General features: G+C 35.4%; 1 protein-coding gene across 1 annotated transcript in view; it reads left to right on the top strand.

Annotated features, from left to right (window-relative positions):
• The window catches only part of ALDH1A1 (aldehyde dehydrogenase 1 family member A1), a 52,383-nt gene extending 37,803 nt beyond the window's left edge, over positions 1–14,580 (top strand). Inside the window, exons 10-13 of the mRNA NM_000689.5 lie at positions 3,129–3,293; positions 5,492–5,649; positions 9,219–9,293; positions 13,971–14,580. Coding sequence (NP_000680.2) covers positions 3,129–3,293; positions 5,492–5,649; positions 9,219–9,293; positions 13,971–14,043 — 471 coding nt within the window. The 3' untranslated portion in view covers positions 14,044–14,580. The remainder of the gene's footprint in view (positions 1–3,128; positions 3,294–5,491; positions 5,650–9,218; positions 9,294–13,970) is intronic.

Genomic DNA, 15,863 nt, shown 5'->3' with positions numbered 1-15,863 from the left:
TTAAGATAAGGAAGTTAAAATAGACTTAAAAATTCCTATTTGTAAGATTCTAAAGTAAATAATCCAGTGATCTAGAATTTAGTTTCTATAAATGAATAGAATCCAGTGATCTGATTAATATAAGAATTTAGTTTCTATAAGTGAATAGATTTTTATCACAAGTTCCATTGAGTCAGTAGGATAAGTAGGTATGTTAGAATTTGGAGAAACAAAAGACTAAAAAGCCCTGGGCTCCTTTACCATTAAATATTCATCTATTGTTAGGAGAAAAAACTTACGCAAAGGGGATACTCACTCACTAAGCTTTAGCCTATTGCCTCATCCAGGGGTGGTTGAGTGAACTGAGGCTTTTAAATACAATGATGGAATCTTCCTCATTAAATATAACATCAAAAAGGTTATAGAAAAAATAATGGTCAAAACGATTTGTTTTAGGGGAAAAAATTAAAGTTTAAAAAAATTTGAACATTACAAATTATTTGGGGGTTAGAGCAATTACAAAATATATATATATACTTTGCATATTTGTATTATATCTGTGGATTCATGTGTGTATCTTTTTCATATTTCAAGTGATTTTCCTATTTGACTTTATAGAAAAAATATATATTGTCTTAAACTTGGAAAAATTAGTATTTTCATTTGAAACAGAAATTGTGATAGCCACATAAACGATACTAAAATTATCACAGAGTAGCACCTTATAATAGTGTGGAAAGATGGACTTTGGAGTTACAGTTATATAGGATTTAAACTGGATTTAAAATCCAGCCTCCCTGAAACTATTGTCTTATGTGTAGAATGTGCATAGAAACCTCAATCTTGAAGAATAATTCTGCAGTGCAATTGGATAATCTATAAAATGTATCCATCAGAGTGCTTGGTCCACATGCTCAAATGTCTAGTAAATAAATAAAAATTACATGCTTCCATTTATACCCATGGTGACAATTATCATACAGATCAATTACTTCTATATCTATTCATTGCTTTTGTTGATACATGGTTTCTGAATAATTTGAGAACATGTAAGTGCTTTTTCCCAATTCATCTTCTTTAACCCATTAAGCCTAAGGAATCAAAGAATTTACCCATTCAAACACCTTAAAATGTTTCCTTTGAGACTGTTACCATATCATGACCTACCTAATACATTTCATAGACTAGCCCATAGGCCAATGGCCCATCACATGAAAGAGCCCCAGCTACATCCTAGCATTATTGGACAGTCCCAGGTGTCCAGAAAGAAGGTCAAGTTTATATATGGTCAGCCTGATGCCTTCTGAAGAAGGTCTGTATTTGTGGTGAATCAAAATTAGCCAGACAAAACTGACCAGTCTCTAAGTAGAGCCTAATTTTTTGTTTGTAGTCCCAAGCTCCACCACAGTGTTCCTCAATCTTTCCTGTGCCCGGGGATTCAGTAGATCTGAGGTGGGGTCAAAGAAGCACATTTGGCTACCAAGTGATGCCACAACTGCTGGTTGTAGGACCACATTGTCGGTAGCAAGGCACTGAAATACAAAGGCCTGTAGTTTTATAAGTTAGCGACCATCTAAGTTTTCCAACAAATAAGGCTTTTCAGCCCTTTTCTCCAGTATGTATGCAGGGATTTGATTGGCACTGGTTATTCAACGTGGTCACAGACAGGAAAACATGACTTGGGAAATACATCTTGAAATAAAAACCAGATATCATGATGTTGAGGGCATAGTCAGATTAATATGTTCCAATAAGACAGAAAGCTTTATGTGGAGTGACATGGACCCTTGACTATTTATTGAGAAACTAGAATACCTTACCCAGGCAGAATTTATCTCACCCCACCCCTTAGTCTGCTACTATTCAACCTATGTAGTAATTTAAATATTTCTTCTTAACACTATTTTTTTCTTAATCTGCTGGAAATGAAGGAATATTTTCCTTCTGGGATATTATATTAAATATTGCACTAAAGACTGTTGAGCAACATTGTACCAAATATTGTGCCAAATTTTAGAAAATAGTTTCTAGTTTCAAATAGTGCTTAATCTAGTTAGATATGGGGGCTGAGCTGTATTCAGTTAGAAATAACTTTATGGAAGCTTTTTCTTGGCTTTGGAAGATAAAGAAGATTTGCAGAGTCAGAGAAGAGTAAGAGAAAGTGAAACATAAAACTTTTCAAGTAGTGGGAAGTTAAACCTACAAGAGCTTCCACCCTCCAACCCATCTTAGCTCCTAGATCTCCTGTTTTTCCTTTAATCCTTAACCCCTGCTACACCTGAGATAGGCAGCCCTCACCGGTTACTTGGAATCCAAGAGTCACCCAGTTATTCAATGTCACAAAATAGAAATTGAGACAAAAATTAGCCCCAGATTTCAGTGCTTGAAGAGGTACGTGTTCCTGGTGTTCACAACCAGAACTCCAAACTCATTTATTTTCCTTATAAAAATAGTGTTTAAATAAAGACGATTTAAGTTCTGTAATACTTGGCACATAGTTAGATGTGGCTCATTTAATGAAGCAGGATGGTGACATTCAGGACAGGCCAGAAATTGGAAGCAGATTTACTGACTGCCCCAGTGGGACCAGAACTGGGAAGGGTGCGCAGACTATGGTCAGAATGGGATATCCAAGGGCATCGGACAGGTCAGAGTGGGTGATTCAGAAATGGGGAGATCAAACAGAGGCTCGGGAGTCTTCTAAGAACAGTCTTAAAGCATCTGCTTCCCAACAGATCTAATTAAACTCAGTATCAAAGTTCTGTTTTTCTCTTTTCCCTCCTTTCATTTCAGCCGGGACAATAGTTTCCAGGTAAATGTATTTAGATTAACAGGCATTTCTTCCAGAGTGAATAAATGATGATTGTCATTTATGTGTTTTTTATGTGTTTGCAGTGCTGAATGCTTTCCTATATAACTATAAAACAAATGTTAAATACAAATATCTGTCTTCAAGAGATTTTCCCCTAAAAGTCATGAGAAGAAAATATATCCAAAGAATGAATCTGAACCTCTGTTAGCTGTTTCGATTCAATATTTGGTTTAATTGCAATATTTTAGCATTTTGAAGCCCTTGTTAACAGGCCCAGCAATGTGTTATCTTTACAAGTGACTACTTTTTTTCTTTTCATGTGATATTTTTCAAATAGATTGACAAGGAACAATATGATAAAATACTTGACCTCATTGAGAGTGGGAAGAAAGAAGGGGCCAAACTGGAATGTGGAGGAGGCCCGTGGGGGAATAAAGGCTACTTTGTCCAGCCCACAGTGTTCTCTAATGTTACAGATGAGATGCGCATTGCCAAAGAGGAGGTAAATGGCTTCATTCTGTTCTGTTCTTTTTGTTGCCATGTTTTGTCTGTTTGTGTGTATACAAAGTGTCACTTTAAAATTCCCAGCTCTTTGGAACATCTTTCCCTCTAAACCTTACTCTTTATTCTGTTCTTGATAGAGGTTTAAGTTATTTGTGATAGATACTAAAAAGTAGTAAGGGATCCATGGGGCCAGCCACAAATGTTCAGCCAACACAGATCTGGATGCTTAACAATTTTCAGGTGCTGCCTTCACAGCTTTAAAACAATGGAAAAGAATCCTGTCATTTGCAGCAACAACCTGGAAAATTTATGCTCCATGAAATATGACAGGCATAAAAAGACAAATACCGCAGGGTCTCACTTTTATGTGGGATCTCAAAGAGTAGAACTCATAGAAGCAGAGATTGGAATGGTGGTTACCAGGGGCTTGGGGGAGTGGAGGATGAGGGTTGGGAAATGTTGGTCAAAGGATTCAAACTTTCAATTAGGAGGAGTAAGTTCAAGAGAGCTATCGTAAATATCCTGACTGTAATTAATAACAATGTATTGTATACTTGAATATTGCTAAGAGAGTCAATTTTAAGTGTTCTCACCACAAAAGAGATAAATATATAGGTTCTACTTTCTGGTTCCACCTTTGCCCTATAGACTCTTTCTATATAACAGCCATCCATGTATTTGAAAACAGCATTCATCCCCTCTATCACTCCCTACCTTCTATGTGCTCTTAGTCCTATTTGTTTCAGCTGTTAGACTTCCTGATTTTGTATATTGCAGTTAAGTGTTTGGTGAGTGTATATATGTGTGTCTGTATACATATATAATGTGTATATACATTATATATATGCTCACCAAGTATTTAACTACAATATACAAAATTAGAAAAAAAATGAGCTGTCATTCTTGCATATCTTGATTAATACCAGATAAGACGTGGAAAAAAATCTTCAATTAAGGAAACATTTATTGTGTTCCTATAATATATTAATATACAGTAGAACAGCTAGCTTGCTACTTCAAAGTAGGAGCCTGGAGCTATGTGCTGTGTTCAATTAAAATTATGTAAAATATGAACACATTTATTAGAGTAGCTGCTGTGTATATGGTTCCTATGTTCAAATAGGATTAGATTTATAACGTTAAGATTCACACTCAACCTCTATTGAACAGCAGCCCCTCCCTTCTAACATTTAAATCAGTGGTGAACACCAGAAAACTCTTTGTCATTTCTGATTTTTGTCTTCCTTCATTCAGATTTCCCAGAAAATTCTGGTAATTTCAGGAATCTTTATCTGATCTTAATAAATATTTTATTGAAATGCAGGAGCTTAATTTTAAAGAGAAAATCCAGTTGTCTTTCTTTTACCTGAGGCTGAGATACAGGGTGAATTGAGTTTGGGCTGCAGTAACCAGGAACTTAGTGAAAGCAAAAGAGTACTTTACGTTAGAATAAGCAAATTGTGATTTTTGTTTTCTGTCCTGCAATTATAGCCATTACCAATGAACTCATGCTTTGATTAGAATAGGATGGTTTAGAATGTATAAGCTCTTGCAGTAAGGAACAATTCTGTTTGATATATTTAAGTTGCCTAAGATTTTGCTACAGAGTAGACTAAAAGTTCGTGATGTTTACCTAACTTGGCTAATTATGAAAAGTAATTAGTAACTATTCTACTGAGTACAGTAGAATAGTTAATATTTTACCAATGGCATACAGGTATTTAAAGCATTATTATTATCAATCATTGCCTATTCATTTATCCAGCAGATTATCATTGCCTATTCATTTATCCAGTAGATTGCTTTCTGGGACTTGTTACTATGTGTAGTGACTTGGAAGATAAGAAAAACTAGAGAGTGAATTTAAAATATTCCCAAGTGAAAAAGAAATTCTGAAGTTAATGATTTGTTGCACAATCATAAGTTCTTGAAAGCTTAATTCCAACATCTAGAAACTTAATATTGCCTTAATTATTTGTACCCTTTCTTCTTCCAAAGGAAATTTAACACCTGACCATTATCTGTTTTCACCTACCATTTTTGCAGTTACCTATTTGGATTCTCACACATAGGTTTGAGATGAGAAGCAAAATCTTAATCAATTTAGGATAGCGTGTAGGAAAAAAAATCTACGATATCATTTAAAATATTTCATTTTAACCTATTATTTTTACTTATTTATTTCTTGTGGTATAGATTTTTGGACCAGTGCAGCAAATCATGAAGTTTAAATCTTTAGATGACGTGATCAAAAGAGCAAACAATACTTTCTATGGCTTATCAGCAGGAGTGTTTACCAAAGACATTGATAAAGCCATAACAATCTCCTCTGCTCTGCAGGCAGGAACAGTGTGGTAAGTCCAACCTAAGGAATGTAGCCTTTTCAGTAATAACCACATTAACAGATTACTACCTTGAACTTTTTCAGACTTGGATTTTTCATTTGGAATTACCTATCCTTCTAGAAAAGCAGTTGCTGCCTTGAAAAACAAACAAAAGGCTGGGTGCGGTGGCTCATGCCTGTAATCCCAGCACTTTGGGAGGCTGAGGTGGGTGGATCAGCTGACTGAGGTCAGGAGTTTGAGACCAGCCTGGCCAACATGGTGAAACGCCATGTCTACTAAAAATACAAAAATTAGATGGGTGTGATGCCTGTAATCCCAGCTACATGGAGGATGAGGCAGGAGAATTGCTTGAGCCTGGGAGGCGGAGGTTGCAGTGAGCCGAGATCATGCCATTGCACTCTAGCCTCAGCAACAAGAGCAAAACTCCGTCTCAAAAAAAAAAAAAAAAAAAAAAAGCTGTATTGGAAGAACTTTAGGGAGGATATTTTCTTTAACTTTATCTAGCTTCTTGAAATTGCTTACCAAAAATATTGTATTGATGTTTGATTAATACAATATAAGAATTGCCAAGTAATTTCTGAGCACGTGGTACTATGCTGTATACAGGGAGGTAAAAGAGTAAGAACAATATTTACTTGGTACCCTTGTGTATGCAGATATTCTTATATCGGCCTTCTTACTCTAGGATTATTAGAGATAATTGAAGTTATTTTTGAAAGATTGAATTTTGAAGATACCCTCCCTCTCCCATTTTTGACCTAGTTTATATCTCTTATTTTTATACTTTAATCAAGAGGATATAAACATGAAGTCTGTGCCTCTCAAACTGTTGCATTCTGTACTCAGCTGTCAGTCTCTAGACTATGTCTTTGGTCACTTTGGTCCCATTAGCCTAATTTTGGCCCCTCAGTCCTGGAAAAAGCACAAGATTATTTTCCTTCCCAACACTAAGTCACACCTAGATCAGACCTATGCAATATTCTCTTTCTTTCTTTCTTTCTTTCTTTCTTTCTTTCTTTCTTTCTTTCTTTCTTTCTTTCTTTCTTTCTTTCTTTCTTCTTTCTTTTCTTTCTTTCTTTCTTTCTTTCTTTCTTTCTTTCTTTCGTCTCTCTCTCTCTCTTTCTCTTTCTCTCTTTTCTTTTCTTTCTTCTTTTTTTTTTTTTTTTTTTTTTTTTTGAGCTGGAGTCTCACTCTGTCACCCAGGCTGGAGTGCAATGGTGCGATCTTGGATCACTGCAACCTCTGCCTCCTGGGTTCAAGTGATTCTCCTGCCTCAGCCTCCCAACTAGCTGGGACTACAGGCATGTACCACCAAGCCCAGCTAATCTTTGTATTTTGTTTTTTTCTTTTTTTAGTAGAGACAGGGTTTCACCATGTTGGCCGGACTGGTCTCGAACTCCTGACCTCAAGTGATCCATCCGCCTTGGCCTCCCAAGGTGCTGGGATTACAGGCCTGAGCCACCATGCTGGCCTGGACCTATACAATATTCTAAGGCTGTGGTTCTCAGCCCTGGCTGTTCATTAGAATCATCTCGGGGGCTTTAAAAATGTATAAACTGATTTGGGGCAGGGGAGGGTATACATTAACACAAATTATATCAGTGTATAGTTTAAATTTCTCCTCCAAAGCCCATGTGGCAATTTAAATGCCATTGTAACAGCAATAGGAAGTGGGCCTAATGGGAGACTCTTAAATAAAATTCAGCAAGTTCTTCTTGAATAGTCGGTATAGCTAGTGATGAATATAGAATTTGCCTATGATAAAAGCATTAATAAAATTCAGCATAGTTACTGTGTGTATGTATATTATCGCCACTTACTGAAGATATTTATACCAAGTACTACAACAAGAATACTATTCACGCAATCTTACGCATACCTTGAAACAATCCTATTAAATATTATCATCCCCACTTTACACATGAGGAAACGCTTGCAGAAGACAGATAACATTTTGAACTCAAAGTTTTTGCCAAGTGAACATTTCTCAGTTCCCTGTTAATTCACAGTAAAATAGTTTCATTTCTAGTTGACAGTAAAATGAGCAAATTTACTCTCTGCACTTTTTAACAAAGACAAATTTCAGTTTTGTATTTTCGACTAGCAGAATGTTCCATGCTTGTTTGATGAAGCTTGTTATGACATCACCCCACTGAGGGTCTTGGGAATCCCTGATCAGGAATTTCCTCTATTATGAAAAACAGAGGGGACCATCTTGTTACTACATATCCTAGAAGATAATAATTTTCTGGCATTGTCCCAGACCTAATAGCTGCTTGGTGTTTTCAGGAAAATTATTGAACTCCAGAGTTGCAGGAAGTTTACTCATAATTTCAAAGTAGTATTTGATTTTGCAATTTAAAGGGCAATTAAACAAAGCTGAGACAATACTGCCTTTTGTAAGTGTAAATTTATTAAAGGAATTATCCCTCCAGGATGAGAGACATAGTTAAGAACTTTATGGTCCAGTGAGAATGTGGAACTTCGGGAACTGGGATAGTGTTTTAACAAAGAAAACATCTGAATATTATCTCAGGATAAAAGTAATGACCAAACCTTCAAAGTATAATACAATTTATCTGGAAGCCACCCTGGTTTTTTGTTTGTTTGTTTGGTTGGTTTTCTAAATTTGTTTTGTAGAGGCAAGGGTTTGCTATGTTGCCCAGGCTGGTCTCAAACTCTTGGGCTCAAGTGATCCTCCTGCCTCAGTCTCCAGCTACTAACCCAGGCTCTGGAAGCCACATTTTTGTCCACTTATTAAAATAGCATGAAGGGAGAGAAAAGTATAAACATAAATCTCCTTTAAAAAGTGTTTTTCTCTTGCGTATAATGAGAATCAGGTAAATAATTAGATTTTGCTAACTTTTGGCCACCAGCAAATTTAAAGCTAAACAAATTGTTTATGGTCTGCAAAACTGCATTCTAATTTTCCCCATCTAGATCTTCTATTGTAATTTTTTGTTGGATTCTAATTACTACTATTCATGTAATTATGTTTGTTTATATAAGCATCTTTAAACACTTTATGAAATATGACAGGGAATAAATTATAATTAAACCCAACTCCTGCCAAGGCCTCTGTTTAAGCAATTTATTTAACCAATTAATGGGAAAAAAAATTAACTGAGTAATATGATACATATTACAATTGCAAAAGAAAATTGATTCTAGCCTGTTAAGTACAGAAACATCAAGAGAATTACAAGCTGATCCATATATAAGCAGTAATGAATACTGATCCAACAAATTCTAGCTTCTAGCAAACCATATCTTTCCCCCTACAGCATAGTGACTATTCTATCTTTTATAAATTCAGACTACCACTTCTCAGGGACACAATGTACGACCAAAATGGCTATCCATATATATAGTTGCACTATTCTATTTGTTTCTAGGTAGTGTGTATCCATATATGTCTGCATTCTAATTTATAGTGCTACTTTTTTTTATCAAGATGAGTATGTTATAATGAAATTAATGGAGTTTGTAAGGAGCTTTCCAAATTTCTAAAACTGCCAAAAAGGATTTTTTTTTCACACCTTAAGTATTGTCTATAATGCACTTTTCTTTTCCTTCAGGGTGAATTGCTATGGCGTGGTAAGTGCCCAGTGCCCCTTTGGTGGATTCAAGATGTCTGGAAATGGAAGAGAACTGTAAGATTAACGTTCTATTAAGATAAATATTTATTTTTATGAAAATGATTTTCATTCCCAGGGAATTAACTCATAGTTTTCACCTTACATAAAACCTGCCTCTGTTCTTTCCTGGAGATTCATAGCACCAAATAGCTTATTAAATGTGGGATGTACTCCATAAGTGCAAAAGGTGATTGCAGAACAGCAACATAATTTACTAAATTCCTACTATATTTTAGGGACTATATTAAGCAACTTACATTGGTGATTGTAATACTGCTTGCTTTTAGAATTGCTTGCTATATATATGAATGTAATCCATTTGGGAAACATTTCCAGAAAAGAGGTGGAAACTATGCATTGGTGATTGCAAGAAAGGTGCAAATGTAAACACTCTAGTTATTTGAATAAACCATTTAAATAAGTAAATTAGGTGACTTATGTAAAGGAAATTTCAGTGTAAGAGGAATGATTCCCATTTGTTGAGATATTATTGATGTAGACTTTAACATTTTTTATTACCATAAGAAGTTATTTTTAGTATTAAAACTTAAACCTAAAAGGAAATTTGAGGAAAACATGTTTTATAGTAGTGACTAGATTAAGAATATTTATATATAAATGCATTTATGAAATTTCAATTGCTTTTGAAACTAGGGTATATAGACTTTTTAAGTATGCACATATATATGTAAATACAGAAAGTAGTGGCAATATGCTTAGTTGATTTTGTTTAGGCAAGTTTAGTCATTTTATTTCTTAAAACTTTTTTACATGTATTAATGTAAACATTTATGAAGAAAAAAGAAATAGAAACCTTATAGTATCAAACACAGATCGTAAACTTGCTCATTTTGTAATTAGGAAGTGAAAATGTGCCTTTCTCAATCTCTAAATGTATTAAATGGTTGAGTACCGTACTCTAACAAATCAGCAAAATTACAAGGAAACAAATATCTCTGAAGAGTCAGTGAAATGGGAGAATTATAAAATGACCAGTCTACTTTCTCAATATGCTTTCATTTATTAAGCACTTGCTATGTGTAAGGTCCTAGGAACCCCAGAGACATGACACCATGTTCCATGCTCTACATAGCTGTGGTGGCAGGACATGCAAAATAACCTACATACACTATGAAATAAGTAGTAATACACTGGGATTCCATATCCTATGGAGGTAGAGAAGCAATTAAAGTACCGAGCAAAGTATTGAAGAAAACCTAGACACTACCAGAGTATAAGAGTCAGGATGGCATCTCTCTAACCATCACTATTTTCATCTGTCAGACAAGGCCAAGGATTGTGAGTGTGGATAAGAGTGGAAGAAGAAAATAGATCTTTTAACCTCTATTCCATGCTTAAGATTCTATAGTTCTGACCCCACTGGAAATCCAGTGGTTGAAAACTTAATGGCAGTTTATAGAGAAGAAAACTTCTCCTAACAGAAGAGATGAAACTTCCTCTAGGGCAGAAAGCAAGTGTAGGATATCAGTTAGTAGAGAAGAGGGCTTTCTTGCATGGAACATTACATGTGGTATGTTGAGGGGCTAGTGAATTTTGTTGATTGGTGTGGATTTATGGGGATGAAAAATATGATTTCAGAGTAACATATGATACAGATTAAGAAGTCCTGCATTTAAGAAATTTGACTTAGATTTTATTAGTGGAGTAGTGAAAAGCCATGGATATATTTAGGATGTTGCTGAAGTAGAACAAAAAGTTAGCCCATCAAAAATGCATGGCGTAGCTGAGAAAACATTACTGGAGTCTGACCAGCTGAATTTGATTCCTAATTCTGCCACTTGCTAGCCATGCACCCCAGTTCAAGCTACCTAACTTCTGAGCCTCTACTTTCTCATATTTGGTGGAGATGTTCACATTCCTCTTAAGATGGAATGAGAGTTCTTGTGGGAGTTAAATGACATACTGAATATTAAATCCCTAGCCACATAACTGTCACAAAGTGTAAATTCAACAAATGGGTTTCTTCCTTCCCTAGTTTCTTCTCTTTCTATTACTGGAGAATCTCTTGGCAAAACTAATTACTTTGTACAAAAAGTAAGAACAAAGGTTAGATTACTCTGAAGGGCAGTTGGTTCGTTTCTGGCCTGGTTATCTAACAACACATTTCACTGAGAACATTAAAGATAAAATAATCAAAAGGAATGCAAGACTAAAGTAGACCAAACATGTCAATTTCGTTGAACATAATTTGGTCAGACTTTAAGGTGAAGGCATAAAGAAATCAAATAAGAGAAGGACTGAAAACAGGAATCAACCATCAGTAATTTCCTAAAAATCTAGAACATGAGTATAGATAATTTCTTTCAAATACAAAGGAAAAAGTTGTGGGTTTTTTTTTTTTTACTTCAAAAATTCAACTAGAGAATGCTACAGTTAAAGTGTACCTGAAACCAAATTTGGTGAATTTAATAACCAAGTCATTTGCTGCAAGATGTTCCAAGAGTTACAAGTTATTACTCAGGCGATAACCTCAAATGACTCCCAAGAGTTAAATTATAAATTTTCCTCAACAATAGAGAGAATTGATCAGTTGAGAACAGAGTCCTCAAAGAGCGAAAAATGGTGTTATGCAGACCCCAGTGTGTTTGAAGGTGATACAGAGTATGCAAATCTTGATTTTGCATCTCTGATCATAGTGTTGGCTCTGGGATTAGTTAAAAGACAGAAATTCCTCCCTTTGTGTAACTGTACTGTTTCACTTAGGTTAACGTAGGTCCTTTAAGACTTTGCTAGTATGCCATTTTAAACTTGATTGGCTCTTAGCCCCTCCCACCATATTTTTTTCCTCCTGTCCCATAGAAAAGGGAGCAAGGAAGTGTAAACTAATGGTCGTATAGTGAGAACACAAATGAATTTTTTTTCTTGATATTTACCAAGTGTGTTCAGCAAACAGTTCTTCTGTGCCTACTTAATTAGTGCCAGTCTTAATCCTGGGTACAGAGAGGAAATCAGATGTAATGTGGTACTAGTGCCTTTTTTTTTTTTACAGTGTGGACCCTGGACAAGAAGCATAGGTTGATATCACTTGCAAGTTTATTACCAATGCCAACTCAGGCTTCACTCGAGACCTGCTAATTCAGAATCAGTATTTGAATAAGGTCCCAGGTGATTTGTACATTGAAGATTTTAGAAGTATACAAACAGTAACTCACAGACATAGTAAGATGAAGAGAAATCCAAACAGATGTTTGGGGCTATGTCGTAGATATAGTATAGGCATAGGAATCCTAAGGAGCAGGACATATTTCAGCCTGAATATGACAAAAATCCCACTTATTACTCTCCTGAGAGCTTCAAGTGCCTATATGACCCAAAATACAATGGAAAGCCTATTGGCGAAAGTCATGGGTTGATTGATCTAACCCTGAGATAAAATACTTATTAAAATATTATCTTTTAATGGGTTTCAGACAACTGAGGCTAAGCCCTTTAATTACTTTAAGGACCATGCTCACTGAAGCTTTTAAAAGGTATTTTCAAAAGCTTAATTGCCCAAGAAAATAATCAGTGTAAGAGTATTAGGTTACCCAGCAGAAAATGATGTCTTCTACATACCTGTCTACATCACAAGAAGGGAGGGGTAAAAAAGGATCAAGATCTTATTCTTCTGTAAGCCTACATGTGCATGAGTGTTATGATTTTGAGACTACTCTTATATACATGTAATTTGATCCTCTTATCAAAACAATATAGAGAATAACTGAGCCCAATCTTTTTAGTCATCTCTTCAACAAGGGGTAAATCAGTCAGTTTCTAAAACTGGTGGGAGGTCTCCATAAACCTGATAACAAGATCCCAAAATCCAAACTGATTGACTGAGTTAATTCCTGATCATTTGGGTTGAACTTAAGAGTTATACAAGAAAATGGTAGGGGACGAGGAGGTTGTATAAAGGGGAAAAAACAACAACTGCAAAAAGCCCAAGAGCCTGAATTTAGACCAATCTATCATCTTCCTCCTCTTAAAAAGAAAACAATTTAAAAGTTTTAAATAAAAAATAAAGGTCATGTTTTTGTTTTGCCAAGAATCAAAAGATTTTGCTGAAACTACTGCTGCAAAATATTTTGTTTCAAGCCATCTTAGGGCACCTCAGACTAAAAATGAAACCATGATCAATTTCTATCCCCTTACCACTTCTATGACAATCACACATGGTAAATACAAGCTCTGCTCTAGTACTACAATAAAACTGTAGAACTAGAGTAGACCTTGTAGTGATCATATATTACTACTTCTCCTCTTGTCCTATGTCCATCTTATTTCAATCTAAACTAGAAATGACAAAATTCTTGTTGGGTCGAATTGTCTTTTGAGTAGTTTTAGAGCTTTTTGTTTTCATTTCTCCAAGATGATCTTGTTGCATCTGCAGTTCGAGTTTTTAAAATCAAGTAGAATAATGTCAAAAGGGGACAATTTATGTGAGAAATCAACTGACAGTACATGATTATTTAAAATGAAAGTTTTAAAGAAAATTTTCCCCACAAGGGAATCTGTGTAAGACCAGAAATCTTATGATTGGCTAGCTACTATATAAAATGCTCTGTACACAAGAAATATTTTCTATTGTCCCTAGCCAGTAAAACAAGAACAAACTCGTACCAAACATGAACTACAGTATATTTATACTGCTGTGCTAAATGGTGTTTGTGGGTATGTTTTTCTTCTCTCTAGGGGAGAGTACGGTTTCCATGAATATACAGAGGTCAAAACAGTCACAGTGAAAATCTCTCAGAAGAACTCATAAAGAAAATACAAGAGTGGAGAGAAGCTCTTCAATAGCTAAGCATCTCCTTACAGTCACTAATATAGTAGATTTTAAAGACAAAATTTTTCTTTTCTTGATTTTTTTAAACATAAGCTAAATCATATTAGTATTAATACTACCCATAGAAAACTTGACATGTAGCTTCTTCTGAAAGAATTATTTGCCTTCTGAAATGTGACCCCCAAGTCCTATCCTAAATAAAAAAAGACAAATTCGGATGTATGATCTCTCTAGCTTTGTCATAGTTATGTGATTTTCCTTTGTAGCTACTTTTGCAGGATAATAATTTTATAGAAAAGGAACAGTTGCATTTAGCTTCTTTCCCTTAGTGACTCTTGAAGTACTTAACATACACGTTAACTGCAGAGTAAATTGCTCTGTTCCCAGTAGTTATAAAGTCCTTGGACTGTTTTGAAAAGTTTCCTAGGATGTCATGTCTGCTTGTCAAAAGAAATAATCCCTGTAATATTTAGCTGTAAACTGAATATAAAGCTTAATAAAAACAACCTTGCATGATTCTTGTTACTTTTGAATTTTTTTAAGTACAAGTTTTGGTTACAGTGATTTCTTCTTGTCACTTAAAAACAGTGTTAAACTGAGCATAAAGGTACATTTAAAAGTAAAAGTCTAATCCACCTATTCTCAAATAGGTAAAGAAACATGCTGTATTTTCCAAAAGAATTCTCAAAATCAGTGGATTTTATCTGAAATAGATGGCCTCAGTCCTTCAGTAAGCAATTATTGAGTTCCTACAAAGTTTTGGGTATGTGTTAAGTGTTGTAGAAAAGAGGTGAATAATGAATGGTCCATTATCTGAAGATCTTTAATTTAGTGGTTAATAAAGACACAATCCCTGCACCACAGAAAGGAGGGGTCATAAAAAAAATGAGGATTTTAGAAACTTGTAGTGACTTGCAGAAGTGGTCATGATGAAGGCTAACTGAGGGAATCAGGAATGGCCTCAGGTAGGAAATTTGACTGAATATAAACCTTAATAATGGGCAAATTTGCAATGAATAAAGGGGAAAGAGGTTCTACAAAATTTATCAGGACATGTTCCATTGAAAAAACATTCGGAAAAATTCTATACAATATATTTTCCTCTCTTGGAATTTCAGATTGCACATCGGCAGCATATTATAGGTTTCGAGAAGTCCTGCAACCTTCTTAGTTTTAATAGAGCCCCCCCTTTTTTTTTCCAAATTAGCAGAGACTTTGTCTCCTCTCCCTCACCTCCTCAGTTACCACCAATTAACATTAAGAAACCCATGCTGGGCTGAATACAGTGGCTCACTCCTGTAATCCTAGCACTTTGGGAGGCCACAGCAGGTGGATCTGTTGAGCCCAGGAGTTTGAGACCAGCCTGGGCAATGGGCAAAATCCCACCTTTATTTAAAAAAAAAAATTAGCCAGGCATAGGGGCACAAACCTGTGGTCCCATCTACATGAGAGGCTGAGGCAGGAGGATGGCTTGAACCTGGGAGGTCGAGGCTGCAGTGAGCCATGATCATACTACTGCACTCTAGCCTGGGTGACAGAGTGGGACCCTGTTTCAAAAATAAAAATAAAAATAAAAACCCTTGCTGTCCTATGCAATGAGGGAACCCTTAGAGTTCTAAGGAGAGATCTGGGAATCAAAAGAGAGCAGCTGAAAAAAATGTCCTCCACATGAAACTACACCAAGCTTACACATTTACCCCCTCATAACAGAATTGCTGCTTGTGTTTTCATTCTTCTGTTGTGCTTCCATATACAAAGTGATTTAGGCCCAAATGAAATGAACATTTGTGTATAACTAT

Source organism: Homo sapiens, chromosome 9, assembly GCF_000001405.40.
Source record: "Homo sapiens chromosome 9, GRCh38.p14 Primary Assembly".
NCBI lineage: Eukaryota > Metazoa > Chordata > Mammalia > Primates > Hominidae > Homo > Homo sapiens.
The sequence above is the reverse complement of the archived record's forward strand: the minus strand, read 5'-3'. Positions and strand labels throughout refer to the sequence as shown.